Genomic DNA, 23,464 nt, shown 5'->3' on the forward strand with positions numbered 1-23,464 from the left:
GCCGTCCATACACTCCGTCTCCTGAAGGGGAAGCGGGCTCTTCTCAGATGCACAGGGACAATGTGAAAATCCTGTCCTCAGATTGAGAGGCTGTTTCGTGGGCACCGAATTCGGGGTCAGGAAAGCAGCCTGCATCCACGAGTATCCTCGGGTTACTAAGTGGGGCCAGTGGCTCCAGGTGTAACCCATTTAAGTTTGCCAGACAGCCGGGATGTAAGGAATGCCCTAATGATTCCCCTTTCCCCCCCACGGAAAGTGGGCAGTGGGGTCTGGGAAGGGGTTTGGGAAGGGGTCTGGGGAGTGGGATGAGGTTGGGACTAACTCTTGTTGGCTTTCCTTACAGAAGGGGTAGCTGGAGTGTTTCAGGTCTATTTGCTTGTTTTGTGTTTTTCAATTTCGGGTTTTTTTTTTTTTTAAGACAGGGTCTTGCTATGTTGCCCAGGCTGGTCTAACTCCTGGATTCAAGCGATCCCTCCACCTCAGCCTCCCAAGTAGCTGGGACTACAGGCATGAGCACCTGCACCTGCTTGTTTTTTTGTTTTTTTGAGATGGAGTCTCACTCTGTCACCCAGGCTGGAGTGCAGTGGTGTGATCTTGGCTTACTGCAACCTCTGCCTCCTGGGTTCAAGCGATTCTCCTGCCTCAGCCTCCCAAGTAGCTGGGACTACAGGTACGTGCAACTATGCCCAGCTAATTTTTTGTATTTTTAGTAGAGATGGGGTTTCACTGTGTTAGCCAGGATGGTCTCGATCTCCTGACCTCATGATCCACCCACCTCAGCTGCTTGCTTGTTTTTAATATATCCTTGCTCCCTGTCTTTCACAAAAGATGCTTTTTGCGGGCAGCTGATGTTCTGTAACTTCTTGTGAGTCTACCGCAAGCATGCCTGTGTATGTGGGAGGAGGAGGTGAAAACGGCCCAGCAGCTTCCCCTGTGATCACAGAATGGGCACCAAACTCTCCATCGGGAAAAACAGCCCTGGGGACTCCACCTTGAGCTTATGCATTGGGGCTTGGGGCCACCAGATAGTTCTATTTTGTTTTTAAAATCAGCCAATGGCCAAAATGCCAAAGCAAAGACAAAAGGTCCCCAAAGCTGCCATTGCTCATCTCCTATTAGTCTTTAAATCTGGAAAAAAAAAAACAAAACAAACAAAAACCACGGGAATAAAGCATACACGGAAGTGTTGGCAGCTTGCACACTCAGCCATGAGATCCCAACCTGAAACACCCATGTCTGTCCCAACGGATTTAGCCTCCTTTAACCAGGGCCTCCCGGAGATCTAGGTTTGCAAACTCCTTGGAGCCCTCCTGGCCCTGGATTCAGCAGCCTCTCCATAGTTCTGGCCTCTGGTATTTGGCAAAAAGCCTAAAACAAAACAAACAAACAAACAAACCTGCTCTGCAACTGCCCAGAGACAAAAGCTGTTTCGCTGTGAGTCTCAGGCTGCTCTGCGTAGCTCTGAAAGGGCAGGTGACAGTCTTTGTTTTTAGCATAGTTGCATGTTTCCAGCACAATCTCGTCAATGGCTTATGTGGTAAGTAGGTGCTCAACAAAGGTGTCAGTTAACTGAAGAACCCCCTGGACCAGTGTGAGAATCTCCAGGAGAGCTCCCTAAGGCACAGATGGCTGAGCCTTGCCCTAGATTCCGTGGGTCTGGAGAAGGGCCCTGGAATGTGCATTTGTCACAAGTTCCAGGTGATGCTGGTGCCGCTGGCTGGGGACCCCACTTTGCGAACCGCAGGCAGAGTGGATAGAAGCCTGTCTCCAGTGCCAGACGGCCCGGCTCCACAGGACAGCTCTGTAGTACTCAACTTCCTCCTGCCTCGATTTCCTCATCAGTAAAATTGAGGGAATTATAATGCACACGCCGCCTGGTAAATGACGCATAAATGTTATTTAAAACATAAGGAAGCACACAGAAAAGAGAGAACAAAAGTGAAACTCCTCACCGCTCTGTTTCCCTCCTTTCCCTTCCGCCTCCTCGCCCTGAGCTGGAACGAGGGGGACGTGGAACCCTGGCTCCATGCTAAGACCCCGCTGTGGGCAACCGGCCCTGACCCCCCAAAATAAGCAAATCGCAAGGTCAAATTTAGACTCCCAGGCCCCGGGGCTCCAATGGCTCCAATCCCCTGGACTCACAGAACCCGAAGAGCCAGTTCCTCTGGGCACAGAACAACACGCGTTGGGCACTGACAGGAAGGGAAAGAAAACAGCCTGCGGAGGTATTTCCAGCGTGCCCAGGGCAGCTGGGAGGAGGCTCCACGGCGCCCGGTTCTTCTGTTGGCAGAAGGGTCCAGAATCCCACATCTGTACCTTCCCCGCTGTCACGCGCTTATGCCAGGAACAGCCTGAGCAGGGTGGCCCTCCGGGGTTCCTGGGAGGCAGGGCTAAGGACCCATGGCAGGCCTGGGTGAGCCGCCTGCACGCACTCTGCTCACTCGTGACTCCCCTGCAGAAGCACAGCCTTTCCCGTGCTCCTCAGTTTACCTCCGTTTGCACTAACACGAGGCGGGGGACAAGAACTTTCCTGTACCTCCTTCGCTGGCTCTCTCTCACACAACCCCCACCAGGGCAGCTGAAGAACTCTCAGAACATGAATCAGACCCCAGAGCCACCTTCACATGGTTCAGTGCCCACAAGACACCTCGAGGGCTGCTCGTGAATTAGTCGGGGTCCCTCACCTCATCCCACACCCCTGTTCCCGCCACCTCCCACAGCTGGGGCCCCCAGACATCATCAGCACAGTCACTGCTGCCAGCCTTGACACCTGCTGTTCCCTCATCCGGGAAAGCCCTTCTGCACCTGGACCCCTGGGGAGCCCCCAGCACCAGACTCTGGGGCACCTGGACCCCTGCAGGGCCCCCAGCGCCAGCCTCTGGGACAGCCTCTGCCGGTCAGTGGCTTCTCTCTGGTCTCCCGCCATGTGCTGTGTCCGTGGCTGTCTACAGAAGTAGACACAATCTCCGGCCACCTCAGTTTTCTCAGTACCCCGATCACAATGTAGAAATGACCTGCTTTGTGTCTGGCCCTCACCAGACTCCGAGCCCCTCGGAGCAGGGTCAGTGCCTCCACGGTGAGCCTTCTATTCCCCGCTCTGGCAGGCCCAGAAACTCCAGCCTCATGCAATTTGAGCACCTCACCGACGCAGCGCTCCAGGGCACGGGCTCTGGGCCCCAACTACCTTGGCCCAAGCTCCAGCCTCGCCGAGCAGCTGAGGCAAGTCCTTTCACCTCGTGGTGCCTCTGATTCCTTATCTGCAAAATGGGTACAACCTCTGACTCAGAAGGCTGAGAGGTTTTGTAGGTCTCTCACCCTGCCTGGCACGGGCACACCCATGAGGCTGAGGCACAAACCAGAAAATCTGCTTCTCCTGGGTGAGAAGAATGAATGTCAGGCAGCCCAGAGAGTGACCCGCACAGCATCTTGGCCTGCAGACAGGCGGATTATCAGAAGGAAGCAGGGAGGCCGCACTGGGACGGAGAGGCAGGGGCGCCGGGGCGGAGAGGCAGGGGCGCTGGGATGGAGAGGCGGCAGCTGTCAAGGCTCACCGTTCCCGCGCCATCACTTTCTGCTTCTGCTCTGAGATGTTCCGCCTCCCACCGTCTCACTGGAGGCCTCCAGACCTGCTCTCCTCAGCTGGACCGCTCTTCCCTGAACAGGATTCCCCCCCAGCACACACGCCCAGGCCTGGCACATCCAGGCTTCCCCAGAGGCAGAGCCAGCCAGCCCATGTACAGGGCCTGACCTCTGCCCAGACATGTGTAGGTTTTGTAGCTTGACTTTCTGAAAGCAATGGTATTCTCCACTTTTCTTCTCGGTGGCCAGGGGTGGGGTGGGGAGTCCCCTCACTGTCACCATCTCGTCCCCTGTGCTATCTTCAGAAGGCATCCAACACTTGCGAGTGTTTTAAATAAAAAACCAGGTCCACCCACTGCAGACAAGCAGTTTAGACAGAGGCTGTCCTCACCCACCTGCTCACCGAGGTATCAGACAATGCCCTGTGGCCCCCACAGGGTGCTGACCGTGTTAATTTCATCCATTTTCTTAAGGCTCCAGAAATGGATTTGGGAGCTGAGATCAGTCAAAAGGCATGTATCTAACATACACACAACCACACACACACTCATTCATGCATACACAGACACACACATAGGTACACACGTGCACACACACACGCACACACGTCACAGACCCAAACAATAAAGACACAGATTTGTTTGGTTTCTTACATCATTTTTGCTTCAGGTTTTCACACAATAAAGGCTATGTTAAGCTGAAAAAAATAAGATTAAAGGTAACCTACTGGTCTTTACGTGTGTGTGTGTTCATAAACACAAGTGCATGTGTGAGCACCTCTACTCAGAAACCCACTGAAAATAAAGAAAATAATGATAGAAGAAATCAATGACTCTCTAGCTGTAGCTCTGAGGGCAGTTCAGAAAAATGATCTTCACCTGCCGCAGAGTAGAGCTGGAGGCTGCATAGGAGACGTCATTCCCAGCATCCGATTTCTAAGACATGAGCCCACATAGGACTCCTGTGCACACTTCGGCCTTGTGAGAATCAGCATGAGGGCCGCCCCAGCACAGGTGCTGCTCCCATGGGGAAGAAGCTTCCTCCCCGAGGCTGAAGAAGGGGCCCACAGCCTCCGGTAGCGGCCAGCTGCAGATGTCTGCAAAAGCAGCGCCCACTTGGGCCTGCCGACCTTGAAGTCAGACAGGCCAGTGACACTAGTCAGTCATCACTGGCCATATTGACTTGGGCCAGTCTCCAAATTTCCCACAGCTGTAGTTTTCTCACCTTGACAAAGCTATTTCATCACCTCGCTGCTGTTTTGGAGCTGGGGTGACAGCAGCCGGTTGTTGAAATGGCTGCGCAGATGGAAACCATGTTGGTCAAGCCCTGACTTTATAAAAGGTGTTAAACAAGTGTGCAATGAATGGTAGCTATCATTAGTTTGTAACAAGGGGAAATACATCATCCGAGGGAGGCAGGATGTGCTGCGTGGAAAAGGCACCACCTTCCAGTAGGAAAATGTACCTTGAAAAGGCCCCCTGAGGACAGGGGTGTCCGTAACAAGACGGGCTGGGGTGCTACGGGCAGGGAGAGACTAGGTTATTTTTTGTTCTGCAGGAGAGGGGGTTGATATGAGGGGAGGGAGGAGGGAGAGAAACGGGAGGAGGGAGAGGAGCCAGGAGAGGTGGGTGGGGCGGGAGCTGGAGATACGAAATTCCTCCACTGTGAGTAACCAGAGGACCCAGCAAACACGACCTCGACCAGGCAGTGGGTGTGAGAGTTTTCTTTTAACACAGACGAGTACAAACAAGGAAACACAAAATCTCTCCCCGTGGATAACTCCTGGAGACATTGCGAAAAACAAAGACCTGTACTGGAAGAAAATCCAAACAGTACAGGAAGGTACAAAATGAAAACAGAGCCTCTCCCAGCCCCACCTCCACAAAATGTTTTCCCAAATATCTTCTGTTCCCGAGATGGCCCCGGGGCAGGGAGAACGGACCTGACTTCCTGCCCCTGGGACTGCAGGAGCGGCTGCAGCTGCTGAATCCATGGCTATGGATTTAGTGGCTTAAAACCACAGAAATGTATTATCTTATAGTCCTAGAGCCCAGAATTCTGAAATGAGTCTTAGGTGTGAAACGTGAAAACCGAGTTGTAGGCAGCACCCTCGGAGGCTCTGGGAGGATCCTACCTGCCTCTCCCAGCTTGCGGCAGCTGCGGGGGTCCCTGGGCCTGTGGCTGCATCGCTCCCATCTCTGCCTCGTGGTCGCACGGCCTCCTCCTCGTTTGTATTCAAACCTCCCTCCATCTCCCTCTTGTAAGGACCCTTGTGATGGCATTTAGGGACCGCCAGATCATAGACGGTCATCTCCCCCTTCTCCCCCTTGCAACATCCTTCCTTACATCTGCAAAGTCCTTTTCACCAGGTAAGGTCACATTCACCGGTCCTGGGGTTAGGATGAGGCTCTCTTTGGAGGCCATTATTCAGCCAACCACAGGGACTTGAGCCTGAGTCTGGCTGGAGGAGCTGGTTAAGGGGGCCCACACCCAGCTCTGCCTTCAGTTCTGACCTGCTTTCTTCTTAGGGAGCCCTTGTCTTGTACACGATCCAGCATCTGACCCCACCTTGTCCCCAGCGCCTGTCACCCTGCTGGGAACCCCTGTTTTTCCAGACCTGGAACTTCTGTTTCTCCAATACTCGTTGCACACTCCAGACCTCTCTAGGAATTGGAAGCTGCTCCTGAGCCCCAGGCCCGTGGTGTTCCCCCATATCTAGCCCACCTCCCAAATGACAACTCCCTGCCACCCTTGCAGGGACCCCTCCCCAGCCTCCTCCTGCCTCCTAGCTGGGCCTGCCTCCTGCTGTGCTGAGCAGCCAGGACATCCCCTGACACCACTCCTGGACCCCACCTTGCCAACCACAGGCTGCTCCTGGGTCTTCCTGTCTCCTGCATCTGGGAACACCCCCACCCACACCTGGCTTCGGTGGAACAGTCCTGGCGGTGCTGCTGCTGGGAGAGGGAGGGGAGGCAGCGATGGAGACAAAGGGAAACTCAAGGGCAGCTCACAGGCCAGGAAGATTCAGGGACTCAGAGGTGGGGGGCCTGAACTGGTGCCCCTGGCCTCCTACCCCACTATCCTCCTGTCAACAGGGTACGAGCCTCTCCCTGCTCAAGACAGGTGACCTCCACAGTGAGGTGTCCATGCCTATGGTCATGGTCACCAGCTGACACCCTCAGAAAGTCACCCTCAGGGTGCAGAGCACGGGGCCTGGGGTAACTGCCTGGCTCCGCTCCCTGGTCTGGAATCAGCAGTGTGGGGCAGGTGGGCAGTGGGGTATGGACTTGAAACTGCTTTCCCAGTGCAGAGCTGCTTTCAAGGCCCTCACTCTTAGCTTGAACAGCAACCATGACTGTTTCCCAAAAGGGAAGGAAAAATGTCTTTGCTGCTATCAATAGCCAAATGGATCACGAATCCCTGGGTCCTGGTGTTTGCACATCATGTCATCTCAAGGACCAAGCCACGTGGCCATTCTTGGGATAACATTGGGTTTTTTCTACTCCAAAGGGGTAGATCCGTTTGTTATACTTTGCATTTTGTAGCTTACTGAATGCTTGCTACAGGCAAGCCCTCGGGTAGTGCAGGAGGGGCTGGGAACTCCTCAAGGGCAGGGAGCAGGGCTTTTTGCTCTAATTGCCTAGTGTCTAACACACTGTCTGATAAATGGTGAATGGAAAAAGGGAGGAAGGAAGGAAAACAGCACTCTAAGTTTCAAGGAACTTAAAACCTCTTGCTAGGGTTGAAATGGTTGTGCCCCCCTCAAAGCGATATATTGAAGCCTAACCTCCGATCTGCTGATATTAGGAGGCAGGGCCTTTGGGAGGTGGTCGGCTCTTGAGGGTGGAGCCCTCATGAATGGGACAAGCGCCCCTATAATGAGATGAAAAGATCAGATTTCTCCCCTCCCCCCGAGTGAGGACACAGCGAGAAAGTGCGCTCTTTGAACCAGAAAGCCCTCACCAGACGCCGAATCTGCTGGTGCCTTGACCTTGGACTTTCAGCCTCCAGAAATGTGAGAAACAAATGTCTGTTGTTTATAAGCCCTTCCAGCCTATGGGATTTTGTTCTAGCAGCGTAAGTGGACTAAGACACCTATGAAGGACATTACACATTTTACAAGTGGACAATGAATTGACAATTGTCACAAGGCTTGAGCTATTCATATGGGCTTCCTACCCAACTCTGGCTGAATCCAATGTCCTCAAGCTTCTCTTATTCCATTCTGCCTCTCTCAGGGTGTTCTCCTCTGCCAAAGTGGGGGGACCCTCTTCTGATGTTTACGCGAGTCTCAAGTCCCCAGGGATTCATCTCACTGTGATTTAGCCAGGGCCTTGTTGCTTCTTCGGGAATCAGATGGCTGGACCACGAAAGCCCAGCGCCTTTCCTATCCTGAAAGAAGCTCCGGGGAAACCTTATTCAATACGTGGAGTTAGGGAGCTGCATCCTTAGCATGAATTCAGGAGGTATCTTTTCTGTTTGAGATCAGGCGTCAAAAGCCATCATGCCACATTGCTTAAAAACCTGGCCCCTGGAACCGGAACACCTGGGTTCAAATCCTGCCTGTGCCTCATGTCCTTGGGCAACTTTCCTAGCGCTTTATATGTCAGTTTCCTCATCTGCAAAATGGGGACCACAGAAGCTCCTCACCAGGGGCTGCCGTGAGAATCAATGGGGCTGGTGTGTGACGATCAGGTGACCAGGGCACCTTGGTTGGTTTGACTCACTGTGAGCCCCACCCACAGCACTGCACAAGCCCTCTCAGCACTTAGGGTCAGAGAAGTTCAAAATTTTTGAATTTCAGGAAAGTAAAATGGTGCATGTACCGAACAATCCCCAAACCCGATGGTGGGATCTATTAATATTTAAGGGCAACACTCTTCATATTTCTGTGACACAGCACAGTCTCCACACCCTGAGCAGGATCATTAAATGCATTTTTATAGTCAGTTCAGGTCAGAAACTGCTACTGCATGAGTCACATATCAGATCAGATTTTGCCATCAAATGAATTACAGAACAGGCTTTTCTGTGTATTTTAGACTTCAGAATTGAGGACAAGAGGTTTTTATCTGGTCTTACAAATGCCAGTGCAGTCAGGGCCCAGGACATGGGGTCCATGAGTGAGGGGTCCTGGGGCTGTGAGAGATGGAGCCCACAGAGGGCACAGTGAGTTCGACTCCAGCGGAAGGAGACTCCTGGGCAAGAACGTCCAATGCCGCAGGACGTCAAGGTTTAGGTGAAGTCTCCTGGTTCATAAATGTTGTAAGATGACAAAATTTAAAGCGAGGGTTGGCAAGCCAAGAAAAGCTGACTTGTAATGTTGTCCAGCCCATCGGGAACTCCAGGTGGACAAAGAGAGTGTGGTACCCGGGTGGCCGCCAGGCCCTCCCTGGATTGTCCTGCCTTTCCCGGGCTCTGCCTCACTCACTCTCCCTTTTCAAAGGTTCTGGTGAAGGATCTGAAGTGTATGGCCACACCAGTCCCAGAAGAGCCTGGGAGAAGGGAAGATGGTGAACACAGTGGAGTTCTGCTGCAAAGCCGAAGATGGTTCTGGCACGTGGCATGACCCACATGACTCAACATCAGGAGGTAGAGCCTTAAAAATAACTCAAATAAGGCTGAGGCAGGTGGATCACGAGGTCAGGAGATTGAGACCATCCTGGCTAACACGGTGAAACCGCATCTCTACTAAAAATACAAAAAATTAGCCGGGCGTGGTGGTGGGCTTCCGTAGTCCCAGCTACTTGGGAGGCTGAGGCGGGAGAATGGGGTGAACCCGGGAGACAGAGCTTGCAGTGAGCCGAGATTGCGCCACTGCATTCCAGCCTGGGCGACAGAGCAAGACTCCGGCTCAAAAAAAAAAAAAAAAAAACTTGAAACTCAAATACCCTTCCATTAAATTAAATTAGGGTGCAACTCCCCCCCGCCACACTGTCGTCACTGCTAAATATTACCATGCCTAAATTTGACATCCTCCTGATGAACAGGTATAACATTGATTCACAAGGAGTGCTGCTTCAGGTAGCTTTGGTCTGAACTCTAAATTTCTCTTCTCTCTCTCTTTCTTTCCTTTTTACTGTTTAGAATGAACTCTCTCTGGCATTATAATAACAGGGCAGCCTCCTAACTGTCAGGGTGGCTTCTGTTGCAACACCTAGATATTTCAAATGCAGGAGAGTGATCGGATCATTCCAAGGGCAGGCTATCCCACACAGGCCCTCATCACCAGGTCAGCCCACACGGGCCCTGATCACCGGGTCATCCTGCACAAGCTCTAATCATCAGGTCTTCCCTCACAAGCTCTAATCACCGGGTCATCCTGCACGGGCCCTCGTCACCGGGTCACCCTGCACGGGCCCTCGTCACCGGGTCATCCCCCACGGGCCCTCGTCACCGGGTCACCCCGCATGGGCCCTGGTCACCGGGTCACCCTGCACGGGCCCTCGTCACCGGGTCACCCCGCACGGGCCCTGGTCACCGGGTCACCCCGCATGGGCCCTGGTCACCGGGTCGCCCCCCACGGGCCCTCATCACTGGGTCGCCCTGCATGGGCCCTCGTCACCGGGTCATCCCCCACGGGCCCTGGTCACCGGGTCATCCCCCACGGGCCCTCGTCACCGGGTAATCCCCCACGGGCCCTGGTCACCGGGTCATCCCCCACGGGCCCTGGTCACCGGGTCTCTCGTCCTCCCTCTGCATTTGCTTTTGTAGATTCCACAGATGAGTGAGATTGTATCATTTGTCTTTCTATGCCTGGCTTATTTCACTTAACATAATGCCCTCTAGGTTCATTCATGTTGTTGCAAATGGCAGGATTTCCTTCTTTTTTAAGGCAGACTAATATTCCATTCTGTAAGTATGTCACATTTTCTTATCCATTCATTCACCGATGAGCACTTAGGTCAATTCCATCTCTTGGCTATTGTGAGTAATGCTGCAATGGATATGAGAGAGCAGACATCCCTTCAACATACTGACTTCCTTGGGTGTATATCCGGAAGTGAAATTGCGAGCAATCATATGGTAGCTCTACTCTAATTGTTGAGGAGACTTCATATTGCTTTCCGTCATGGCTGTACTGATCCACGTTCCCACCAACAGTCATGCCTGCACTGATCCACGTTCCCACCAACAGTCATGGCTGCACTGATCCACGTTCCCACCAACAGTCATGGCTGCACTGATCCACGTTCCCACCAACAGTCATGGCTGCACTGATCCACGTTCCCACCAACAGTCATGGCTGCACTGATCCACGTTCCCACCAACAGTCATGGCTGCACTGATCCACGTTCCCACCAACAGTCATGGCTGCACTGATCCACGTTCCCACCAACAGTCATGGCTGCACTGATCCACGTTCCCACCAACAGTCATGGCTGCACTGATCCACGTTCCCACCAACAGTCATGGCTGCACTGATCCACGTTCCCACCAACAGTCATGGCTGCACTGATCCACATTCCCACCAATAGTGTGCATAGAGGATAGTCCACATCCTCACCGGCACTTGTTTTCTTTCATCTTTTTGATAATTAGGTGTGAAGTGATATCTCATTGTGGTTTTGACTTACATTTCCTAGATGGTTGGGGATATTAAGCATTTTTTCATATACTCATTGGCCTTTTGGATGTCTTCTTTTGAGAAATATCTATTCAGGTCCATTACTTATTTCTTAATTGGGTTGTTTTCTTGATATTGAGTTGTTTGAATTCCTTATATATTTTGGCAATTAACCCCTTATCAAGTGTGTGGCTTGCAAATATCTCCTCCCATTCCATAGGGTGTCCCTCCACTCTGTTGCCTGTTTCCTTTGCTGTGCAGAAGCTTTTGGGTTTGATGTGATCCCATGTGTCTATGATTTTACTTTTGTTGCCTGTGCTTTTGGTGTCATATCCAAAATCATCATTGCTTAGACCAATGTCATAGAGCTTTGCCCCCTATGTTTTCTTCTAGCAGTTTGAAAGTTTCAGGTCCTACATATAAGTCTTTCATTCGTTTTGAGTTGATTTTTGTATATGTATGAGATAAGGGTCCAATTTCATTCTTCCACATGTAGATATCCAGTTTTCCCAACATCATTTCAGTTTGTTTTGTTCGAAGCTATTGAGTTGGTGGTAATTTTCTACAGCAGCCCCAGGAAATGAATACTGTGGTCATATTCTGAACATCTGAGTTTTCACAGGGGCCTCGTTGAGATAAAGTTTGATCCGTGTGCAAGGGTGGGTTGACAGGGAAGCCCTGGGATCCCCTCAATCCAGGTTTGAAGCCTCCTTGCTGAACAGGGCACCTGCACCCCTCACCTGGGATGTGGTGCTAGCAGGACTTGCCTTGGTGGCTTCCTGGCATGACTAAAATTCAGATAATAGGTGGAGGGTGCCTGGCTGGGGCTAAACAGATGCATCTCCAAAAAGAGTTTTGCTCCAATCAAGGGAAAGGAGAAGGAGGCAGAGCCTATGCAAGCCCTCAGAACCTGGCATCAGGGAGTCTTCCACCGCCTTCACTCTCCAGATGGCCTTGCCCACATCCTGGAAAGCAAAGGACCCTGCCAGCTCTTCAACAGAAACATTCACACCAGGTTTTCCATCACTCCACAATCACCAGCTCTTTAGAAGGAGGCAGAGCAGCGATCATCCCCTCCTTGCACAGAGAGTGAGATACAGAGTTCTGCACCCTCAAAGCCACAAGCACAAGCGTATCTAGACTTCAGCCTTCCAGGCTGCGAAATCAGCAGGAGTTCCTCTCATCCACAGGGACCTCCAACCCCAGGTCCTTCCAGCTCCCCCAGGCAGAGCCCAGCCTCCATTCCAGTGTCTCTAGCTTTCTGAGGACTCTCTTCCAAGTCCTCCCTTATCTCTGCCCCCAGGCGAGAGGTGGCAGCTTCCTTCCTTCCTGCAGGAGTGGGAGGATGAGTGCTATTGATTCTCACTCATCAGCACCCACTTTGCTTTTGGAGGCGGCTTTGGAAATGCCTTTCCCAGGCTCAGCCCTTGCCTGCAGCCATGACCTTACCTGAAGAAGAGGATGGATGAGGGACTGTCCCTAGGATGCAGGAATGGTGAAAAATGACGCTTGTGTTTACTTAGACCTCCTCACCAAGTCGGCCTGCGTTCTCCTCTGAGTTCCACATGGGTCCTATGACGTAGGCACTAATGCCAGGCCCACTTTAGGGACAGGGAAGTAAGTACCTAGCAAAAGTCAGAGACAGGTACCACTGGGATATAAACCCAGCTCCGAATCCAGCACCACGCTTAAGAAAGCTGCTCTGTACCTTGTTGCCAAGTTGCTGCTTCTTTCAACTCCTAAATGCAGCATTTTCTTGTTCCTTCTCCAAATTGTTTCTCTGCTGAGCAGCTGCAGATGGAAAACCACCTACGATATTTACGTCTGCCAAAGCCAAACCTTCTCCAGTTTGGCAGGCATGTGAGACTCTGGCACAGGGTGGAGGGGCCTCTCGCTAAGTCCCCTTGCTCCGAAGCAGGACAGCAGTTCCTGTCAAGCACCTGACATGTATGAAACAACTGTCGGCCCCACTGTGGAAACAAATGAAGACCACCCACCTGAGACCAAGCGCAGGCTGTGTATTCTGAGCAGGCTCTAGCGAGGGGGCCGCTTCCACCAGCTGCGTTTGGCAGAGACTCAGGGCAGGCAGTGGGGAGCTTGGTGGTGGACGACAGGCTCCAGGGGTGCCCCGATGAGGCCGTCTTCAAAAGGGAGCTGGGAAGGCTCGTGGAAGTGGACATCCTAGGGGATTGGCTAGGGGCGCATATTTGACTTTCTCTGGTTGGCTCTAAATTAGAAGTAGGAACAAAAATTAGAAAAGCTGGCAGTCATCAACCAACTCCTGACCATTCTGGCCTGATTGCTGCAAAGACTGTGAGTCTCTCCATTGTCTTTGTAGGGAAGGAAACAACTACTTTACCGTCTTAGGTTCAGTAACTGAGGGCTGCAAATTACATGGACAAAAGACGGATAAACAGGAGAAACGGGTTTATTTTATGTGCCTACGGGAGCCAACAAAAGAAGTAGCCGGGGCCGGGTGCGGTGGCTCACACCTGTAATCCCAGCACTTTGAGAGGCCAAGGCAGAAGAATCACCTGAGGTCAGGAGTTCGAGGCCAGCCTAGCCAACATGGCGAAACCCAGTCTCCACTAAAAATATAAAACTTAGCCAGTCGTGGCAGTGTGCATCTGTAATCCCAGCTACTCAGGAGGCTGAGGCAGGAGAATCGCTTGAACCCAGGAGGCGGAAGCTGCAGTGAGCAGAGATTGCGCCATTGCACTCCAGCCTGGGTGACAGAGCAAGACTCTGTCTCAAAAAAAAAAAAAAAAAAGAAGAAGTTGCTGGCTGATAAATAGCTAAAGACTTGTACACCTACTTAGTAGGGAAAAGGAAATGGGGGAGAAGTGGCTTTTATGAGAAAAACAAATCATTTTCTTTAGGAAAAACAAATGGGATTTTAGGAGAAGAGAAGGGCGATAAAGTTTGTGATAATGTTCGTCTAAACAGGTATGAGTGGTCTTTCCATCTTCTTCAGGGCCATAAAACTCCCCCAGAGAGGAGAATTATGGTTGCCTCCTTGCCCAGAAGTTGCTGTTTTTAATCAGATAAAGGAAGGTCTGAGGAGGCTTTTTTCTGCATCTATTAAATCTCAAATGTCTTCAGCTTAAAGCAATCTTTATGTCATCTCTGGATGACATCTGTGGAGTGGGTCCCCACATCTGTTTGTATACTCAGTCTCTCACCATTTTAAGGGTGAGGAAACTGAGGCTTGAAGAGGTGAAACACCTTACCCAAGATGCCCATCGGTGGGTCACAGAGCAGTCCTGCTCCAAGATCCTTTCTACCAAGTCACCTCACTCATACAGGGAGGGTCACCAGATTGTGTAAAGATGATGTAACAGAAGAAAATCCTGCTCACCCACTCATCCATTCATCCATTTATCCATCCACCCATCCATCCACCCATCCATCCATCCACCCATCCATCCATCCACCTATCCATCCATCCATCCACCCATCCATCCATCCATTCATTCATCCAAATATCCATCCATCCATCCACCTATCCATCCATCCATCCACCCATCCATCCATCCATTCACTCATCCAACTATCCATCCATCCATCCACCTATCCATCCATCCATCCATCCACCTATCCATCCATCCATCCACACATCCATCCATCCATTCATCCATCCATCCATCCATCCACTTATCCGTCCATCCATCCACCTATCCATCCATCCATCCACCTATCCATCCATCCATCCACGCATCCATCCATCCATTCATCCATCCATCCATCCATCCACCCATCCATCCATTTATGCATCCACTCATCCATCCATCCACCTACCCATCCATTTATCCATCCACTCATACATCCATTTGTCCATCCACCTATCCATCCATTCATCCATTCATCCATCCATCCATCCATCCATCCATCCATCCATCCATTTGTCCGTCCACCTAGCCATCCATTCATCCATGCATCCATCCATCCATCCATCCATCCACTCATCCATCCATTTGTCCGTCCACCTAGCCATCCATTCATCCATGCATCCATCCATCCATCCATCCATCCACTCATCCATGCAATAATAATTTAGCCCCGAATCATGCTGGATGCTTGGAGTATGAAGTCCGATATGCCACAGTCCCTACTCTAGTTTTGAGGTGTCCCTACTCTAGTTTAGGGGAGATAGACTCATAAAGAGTTATTGTTGTTATAATATATTAAAATCTACAGTGACTACTTTCATGAAATACCTGGCCATTCACCTATATCCCGGAACAGAATGTTGTCAGTGCATGGTGACAAGCATGTTCACCAAGGTGGTGAGATGGCAGAGATCTGTGTCTTCCCATTTATCATGTTTGATGTTTTCCAAATTGTCTGTTTTCCGAATGTATTATTTTTATAATGGGAGTGGGGATTCTTTAAAACTTCAATATTTCTATATTGTCTAAAAGTCGATTGGTTCTTGGGCCCATTTGACACCTTACCTAATCAACTCTCCATCCTTGCTGCTCAGAGGCTGCCCTCCCCCAAGACTCCCCCAGCCCACCCCAGAACACCAGAGCTTTGCAAACCTCCAGTTCTTGCTCACCTTGAATTCTGTCTGCAGCGTTCTTACCATCACCTTTGCCTGGAAAATTCCTTTTCCCTCAAAATCTAGTTTAAAGGTCTGCTTTCCTGTGTCACGTGGCCTGCCTGCCTCTATGATTTTCCCCCACTTTCAGTGTTCTTCAAAATGTGCTATTTAATAGATGCATGATCTCCCCTATCAGTGCACCATAGTTTATTTCATCAACCCTTGGTATGGGATCATTTAGGCTCTTTCTGACATTTGCTATTATAAATAATGCCTTAATTAGCCTTCTCCTTCACAATCTTTGATCATATCTCTGTTTCCTTAGAATAGATTTCTAGAAATGGAATCTCCAGGGCAAAGAGTAAGAACACTTTTAAGGCTCTTCATACATAATTCAAAATTGCTTTCCAAACAGGTTGAACAATCTGTGCTCCAGCACCACAGTGTAGGCCTGCCTGCAGGAAGTCATTATTTCAAGTGTTTGTTACTTTGACAGCTGAAGATGCCACTGTTTCATTGTTTTAATTTGCATTTCTTTGACTGTCAGTTATTTTGAGCTTTGAAAAATGAGCTTACTTTAAAAAGTGTATTTATACAGTGTAGTGGTCAAGGGTGCAGGCTTCAGAGTCCAAGAGATGTTCAGACCCTGGCTCTGCTGATGAGGACCTAGTGACCTGGGGAGCCCTCGTGAAGATGAAATGAGGTCATGCACACAGGTCTCTCCGCTGGTGTCTGTGACCTGAGTGTGCAATCAACATTAGCTTCATTGTTCTCAGAGTTCTGAGAGCTTCCTTTGTTTTGTGCAATTTCTGTGCATGCTTTCTGACCAATTTGCTAGTGGAGTGTTTTTCTTATTAATTTAAAGGAGCTCTTCTATATATTTAGGAGTTCAACCCTTTGCTTGCCATATTTATGCTAATATTTTTTCAAATTTTTTCTCTTTGCATCATTTTTACTCCAGGAGATTTTTATTTTATGTATTCATACCTTCATTGATGGTTCCTTCCATTAATTTTATGCCGACAATTTCTTCCCAGAACTGAGATCCATTAAATATTGTCCTCTAATATATATTGTTTTACATTTATCTTAAATTCACAGGCAAACTACCTTGGTATAAATTAGGGAAAATCTAACCTGATTCTTTTCCAGTGTCATTCAGAAAATAATTCCCTTTTACGGACTCAAAAGCAGAAATGTGACATAATCAGATGTGTTTTTAAATAGCTTGCTGGCTCCAGTGTGGTAGGAAAAAAAACAGCAATCATAAAAAACAACCAACATTTATTTAGTACTTACTGTGTACAGGCTGTGTTCTGAGTCCTTTGCAGATATTCACTCACTCAACCCTCATAATCACCCCATAGGAAACAAAGGCTTACGCTGGGGTTTAAGTAACTTGCCCAAGGTCAGAGCTAGAAGCGGCTGAACCAGGGATGGGATGGAACCAGGAAGGGGCCATCAGAGTTAAGCAGATAAGTCAACGCACCAGTCCAGATGAGGTAGAGGGACTGGCCTAGACCACGGCAGGGAAAGGAGAGGAGATGGCATACTGGTCACGTATTGAAGATATGAGTCTGGGATTTGGCAGTCAACCACCCATTGCGGACCACGAGGACAAGGGAGAGCTCTAGAGCCCCATCTCAGCATGCAGCTGTTAAGTCCCTCAAAGAAGACTTGCACTTTCCGTAAAACCATCGCCTTCCTCTCCCTCACTGTTCCCAGCATCCCCGGACTGCACAGGGTAGAAAAGCAGCAAGTTTGGACCACAATCCCAAATACCGAAATCCCAAAAGATCAAAATCGCTAAAACCGCCAACATCTAACATCCCAAAAGTGGCAATTACAGGACAAGTTTTTTGTTTGTGTTCCTTTTCTTTTTAAAGTTTTTTTTTCACTATTTTAAATTGTCAGCATTTTCATTCACAGTTCTGCATGCTGTGTATTTCATCTTTGCATCATTTCCAATACTGGAGGTATAAATTGTATAGGGACTTTTTATTTTTATTTATTTATTTATTTTTGAGACAGGGTCTCTCTCTGTCATTCAGGCTGGAGGGCAGTGGCATGGCCACTGCTCACTGTAGCCTCCACTGCCCGGGCTCAATGGAGCCTCCCAAGGAGCCGAGACTACAGGCACACATCACCACGCCCGGCTAATTTTTGTATTTTTTGTAGAGACAGGGTTTCGCCATGTCATCCAGGCTTGTAGAGATTTTTAGAGTTCTAATTCTTTATGCATTTTTTGCAGATCTGACTTCATAAAAGTGAACTATCACAATGCTGCTTTGCAAGCTGTGTGTGAGTGTAAAAGCGTTGAAACTTCCTCAATAAATGAAAAGATATCTTTTTTGTACATCTGCATTTGTGAAAGACAACATTTCTCCAGATCTCTCTCAGCTCTTTGGGTGACTGCATATGTATGTGGCGGGGACCCATCGAGGTTGCTGCGCGATCTTGTCAGTAGACTTAGGTTGTCCGTCACGGCACTTCAGGTGACCGCAGTTATACGCCAGGTGCACACAATCACCAACCATAGCGATCTGCATTACCACATCTCCCTTTCTGACCCATTTCCTTATGAATACGGTTCATCTGCTCATAGTTGATATACCTGTGTGACTCTCATTAGCACACCTGTCTATGCTTACAAAAACATGTGTGTTCTTACTGCCTGTTTTATTAAAGTGGCCTATGAAGTGTTCCATTGTGCTTTTTATGTTTAATTTTTATGTTTTATGTTTAATTTTAAAACATACGTTTATGTTTTGTTTTTATGTTTCTCAAATAAATTCCCTTTTAAAAATGTAAATATTTTCTAACATTTTAAAATTATTTTTTACAGAATCAGGGTTTTAGGATTCTGATTTTTCAGGATTTCGACACTCGGGATTGTGTCTATTGGGATTATGATGCACTCCCAACAGCAGGCCGGTCCTCATCTGTCCCAAACAGCTCAGATGCGGTGGGCACTGATGTGGCCGGGTGGGCTCTTCGTTCCCGCCCACTGAAATCCCACCCACCTGTTTCTTTTCCTCTTCTTCCCCCAGCCACTCCCTTCCAAGAAGCCTGGCTCTGGCCTGAGGTTCCTGGGGAGGGAAGGTCCACGCAGTGGTCCAAGTGGCCTGCCTGAGTCACACCTGAGCCATCTAGTCACTTCTCCATTAGCTCACACTCTCTGAGCTACAGAGGCTTCAGGTGGTGTTAGGGGGCCCAGTGATCCTCTAGTCGACCAGCTCTTGCAGAACCAGCCATGACTAGGCCAGTCATTCGGGGTGTAAGAAGCCACGGTCAGTCCTCACTCTGGACCCTCCGATCAGACGACGGGCCTGCTGTTCTGAGACCGAGGCAGCATCTCTGCGAGGGCTGCAACAGCTGCTGGGCTGAGCGCAGACCTTCCTGATACGCCTCATCTGTGACCTCTGGGTGGATTTGAGCTCCTGGCTTTACCTCTATTGCCTATATGATCACAACAAGTTTCTTCTCTGTCCTCTGCTTCCTCTTCTCTAAGCTGAAGCCATTGAAGCATCCAGCTCAGTTTTCAAAAATTAATAGAGATTCATGGAAATAAGGTACCCACAGGATTGAGTCAGTGCCAGACCCATAGCAAACTCTCAAAATATACTAGCATAAAAAAAAAAGTGTATTAGTCTGTTCTCACATAGCTATAAAGAAATACCTGAAACTGGGTCATTTATAAAGAAAAGAGATTTAATTGGCTCACGGTTCAGCAGGCTGTACAGGAAGCATGGGGACATCTGCTTCTGGGGAGGCCTCAAGAAACTTACAATCATGGTGAAGACAAAGGGGAAGCAGGCGCGTCTCACATGGCCAGACCATGAGAGAGAGGTGGGGGAGGCGCCACACACTTTTAATCAACCAGATCTCATGAGAACTCTATCACAAGACAGCACCAGGTGATGGTGCTAAGCCATTCATGAAGGATCCACCCCAGTGATCCAACCACCTCCAACCGGGCCCCACCCCCAGCACTGGGGATAACAACTGAACATGAGATTTGGTGGGGACACAGGTCCCCACCTCACCACATCACACAATTTCTCTCCTTTCTTTCCAGGTAACCAGTTTGCAAGGGCTTGCCGTATCCTCCATAGATGGTGTAATTGGAAACGCATTTGTGGGCGTGGCGGTGTGGTCTGGGGGAGGAGCCCTAGCCCCCCTCTCTCCTCCAAAACTCTCACTGGTCACAGATTCACGTGTGTTTATAATTCCTCATTTTAAGAAAATATCATGATTCCCATTTTACCTGCCATTTTCCCCTCAGATGGCTGAGGGAAGAGTCTGGGATGATGATTGGCTCCTGTGCTCTGAGTGTGCAAATGCTCCAAGGGTGCAGCCATGCTCTGGGCACTCAAGTCAGTCTTAGTCAGTGCTCCTTCCTCTTCTGCCAGCTCCTCCCGTTCCAGTGACCATTCCTCTTGCTGAACCGGCTGGAGAAGGCGCGCGCGGTCCCAGGCCGCTGTCTGAAGGGCTTTCCATTTGTCTCTGCAGACAATCTCATATTCCTTTTCCAGCCTCTGATGGAAGGGGCGAGGGGGACTCCTCCAACCAGCTAGCTGTGCCTTTCTGACCCAGGCCCAGGGGCTGCTGCCTGCCGTGGCAGGTCACTGGCTGTCCTGGAACTTCCTGGACATTGCTGGTCTTGCATTTCCTATCGTGGAACACTTGCTCCATGACACAGGTCTACTTATCTGTCAACAAAACCACCTCATTTACCTGCTTCTCCACCCACCTCCTTCCAGCCATCTCCGCCCCTGCCCTCACTGGTGAATGGATGAATTACCCAACATGGCTTTGTGCTGGGAGCATGGCCTGCCTTGGAGAGAACCACAAACAATGACCTGGGCTGCATGAAGAGTCAGGTCAGCACACTGGTGAGGTTAAGTCAACTCCCAGAGGCCACGATGACAGGCCACGAAGAGTCAATGAGAGCCTTTTGGGTTTGATGCCCGAAGCACTCTGTCCCCCATCACAGTCTTTAGGGGCAAGTGCAGGAGCCTCCAGCCAGTCAGAAGACGTTTCCTCCAAGTGTGCAGCCATAGGTCATCAAAGCGAAGGGTATTTAGATTTCTCAAACAGAATCAGTAGGAGTTAGAGAGAGAGGGAAGAAAGGAGGGAGGGAAAGTTATTGGGAAGACCTGGCTCCCATGGCTATGGAGGCTGAGAAGCCCCACGCTCTGCCATCTGCAAGCTGGAGGACCAAGGGTGCTGGTGATGGTGCTGAGATTGAGTCTGAATCCAAAGGCCTGAAAACCAGGAGAGCGATGGTGGAACTCTCAGTCCCAGGGTCAGAGAAGGTGAGAGGAGATGTCCCAGCTCAGCAGACAGGAGGCATGAGAGGACTAATATGGTTTGGCTGTGTCCCCACCCTAATCTCAACTTGAATGTTATCTCCCAGGATTCCCACTTGTTTTGGGAGGGACCCAGGGGGAGGTAATTGAGTCATGGGGGCCAGTCTTTCCCATGCTATTCTCGTGATACTAAATAAGTCTCACAAAATCTGATGGGTTATCAGGGGTTTCCACTTTTGCTTCTTCCTTGTTTTTCTCTTGCTGCCGCCATGGAAGAAGTGTCTTTTACCTCCTGCCATGATTCTGAGGCCTCCCCAGCCATGTGGAACTTTAAGTCCAATCCAACCTCTTTTTCTTTGCAGTCTCGGGTATGTCTTTATCAGCAGCGTGAAAACAGACTAATACAGGGTCAATTTCCCCTTCCTCCACCTTTCGTTCTATCCAAGCCCTCAGGCGATTGGATGATGCCCACCTACACTGGGGAGGGCCATCTGCTTTACTGGGTCTACCACTTCAAATGCTAATCTCTTCTGGAAACATCCACACAGACACCCCCAGAAATTATGCCTAATATGGGTACCCCATGGTCTAGTCAAATTGACACCTAAAATTAGTCATCACTCAGAGTCTGTGTCTCTTTGCAACATTAAGTCAACCTCCACTCCCCTCATCCTCTCCTCCCAGCCACAGGTCTTGCCCCAAGAAGGACCTCCCACCCCATCCTTGGTCCTTCCAGGAGATGCAGTGTCTTCCCTACCCCTTCCCCAGAACACCGGTGATTCCGACGCCTCCTTCTTACATGCACCTTCCATTCACTCATTCTCTGAACAGCAGATCCAGTGGTTACCACCCTGGGATCAAGTCCAAGTAATGGATATTTAGTAACAGTGAGAGCTTGGGTGAGTCATTTTGCCTCTGAGAGCCTCCGTACCTCCATCTATAAAATGGGGATGATTTCTTCCCTGTAGGGTCATCATTAAGAGGTTATTACCTCCACTGAAATGAGTGAGTAGAGCAGAGGCATTTGTCAACTGTTGCAAATTTGGCAGAGCTGGGCTTCTGCAAAGGGCAGCTTCAGATTCTGTGACCCATGGTGGTAACAGGACTAATGCTTTGGTCTTTGGCAGCCTCCTGGGTGATGCTCAAAAAGGTGTCGGGGACCCGTTGGGCAGGTCCCAGGAGAGCTGACTGTTGGCCTTGGGTCATCTGGCCAGCAGCACCCCTTTTGACACCATGCCTCTCTGCGTGCCCCAGGAGGTCTACTGGCCTTCTCCACTGTGCCACCTAGCATTGGATCTGCCAAGTTGTGTTGGCTGAAGCAGAACCCAGAGCAGACACCCCAGGAACCTTCCCTGGAGTAAGGCTTCCCCCAGCGTGCCTGGGGGTCTTGGGCACTGCTCTCAATGTCTCCCAAGTATTAACCCATCTTGTTCTCATATAACCCTGTGGGGTCTGCATTCACTCTGCAAATACTGAGTGCCTGCTCTCTGCAGAGTGCTGTCGTACGCCCCAGAGACACATCAGCACACAAAGCCTGTGAAGACCCCTGTCACTGAGAGCCTCATGTCCTAACTGCATGACTCAGCAAACACAAGACACGCATTGTAGAATGTGCTGGAAGGAGCTGAGTGTGTCACAACTGAAATGAGGTAGTTGGGGTTGCCTTGCTAAGCAGTGACTTGATGCAAGTTCGATGACGAACCCCGTGGGATTCTTATGCCCATTTTGCAGATGACGAAACGGAGGCACAGAGCAATACAATTTACTGTATTAGTCCGTTCTCATGCTGCTAATAACAACGTACCCAAGACTGAGTAATTTATAAAGGAAAGAGGTTTAATTGACTCACAGTTCAGAATGGGTAAGGAGGCCTCAGGGAACTTACAATCATGGTGAAAGGGGAAATAAATGCATTCTTCACACGGCAACACCAAGGAGAGGTGCCGAGCAGAAGGGGGAAAATTCCCTTACAAAACCGTCAGATCCCATGAGCACTCACTATCCCTGATAACTGCCCTCATGGTCAAATTACCTCCCGCTGGGTCCCTCCCATGACACATGGGGATTATGGGAATTACAATTTGAGATGAGATTTGAGTGGGAACACAGCCAAACTATATCACAGAGTACTTGGTCAAGGTCAGGAGGCTTATATGAGGCAGAGGGCACCCAGGAACACAAGCGTCTGATTTCAAAGCCCATCTCTAAACTAAAACACAAACTTTTCCCTACAAAGGGCCTGGGAGGAAAAAGTGGCTTTGCAGGTCACATGTGGTCTCTGTCACCTATTCTTTCATTTTTTACAACACTTGAAATGTGAGAAAACCATTCCTGGCTCTCCAGCAGTGCAAAAACAAGAGCGGTGGCATGGTTTCCAACCCCGGCTCTGAACCACCAGGCTCAGCACTTTCCAAACTAAGTTACCTCTTCTCAAAACCCCGCACAGCACAAGGAAGAAGGCAC

General features: G+C 49.9%; 1 long non-coding RNA gene across 1 annotated transcript, besides 1 other annotated feature; it reads left to right on the forward strand.

The window, feature by feature from the left end:
- On the forward strand, nt 5-18,039 carry LINC00111 (long intergenic non-protein coding RNA 111). The gene is made up of 3 exons (NR_024367.1): nt 5-213; nt 9,026-9,171; nt 17,941-18,039. It is a non-coding gene; the product is annotated as a long intergenic non-protein coding RNA 111 (long non-coding RNA).
- Nucleotides 6,206-7,125: an enhancer, noted in NCBI's record as "H3K27ac-H3K4me1 hESC enhancer chr21:43105663-43106582 (GRCh37/hg19 assembly coordinates)". NCBI's record gives its function as "activates a minimal SCP1, AML or CMV promoter by ChIP-STARR-seq in naive H9 embryonic stem cells {active_cell/tissue: H9 hESC(naive)}" and the evidence as "EXISTENCE:reporter gene assay evidence [ECO:0000049][PMID:30033119]".
- Nucleotides 18,040-23,464: the final 5,425 nt, after the last annotated feature.

This window comes from Homo sapiens, chromosome 21, assembly GCF_000001405.40.
Source record: "Homo sapiens chromosome 21, GRCh38.p14 Primary Assembly".
NCBI classification, from domain to species: domain Eukaryota; kingdom Metazoa; phylum Chordata; class Mammalia; order Primates; family Hominidae; genus Homo; species Homo sapiens.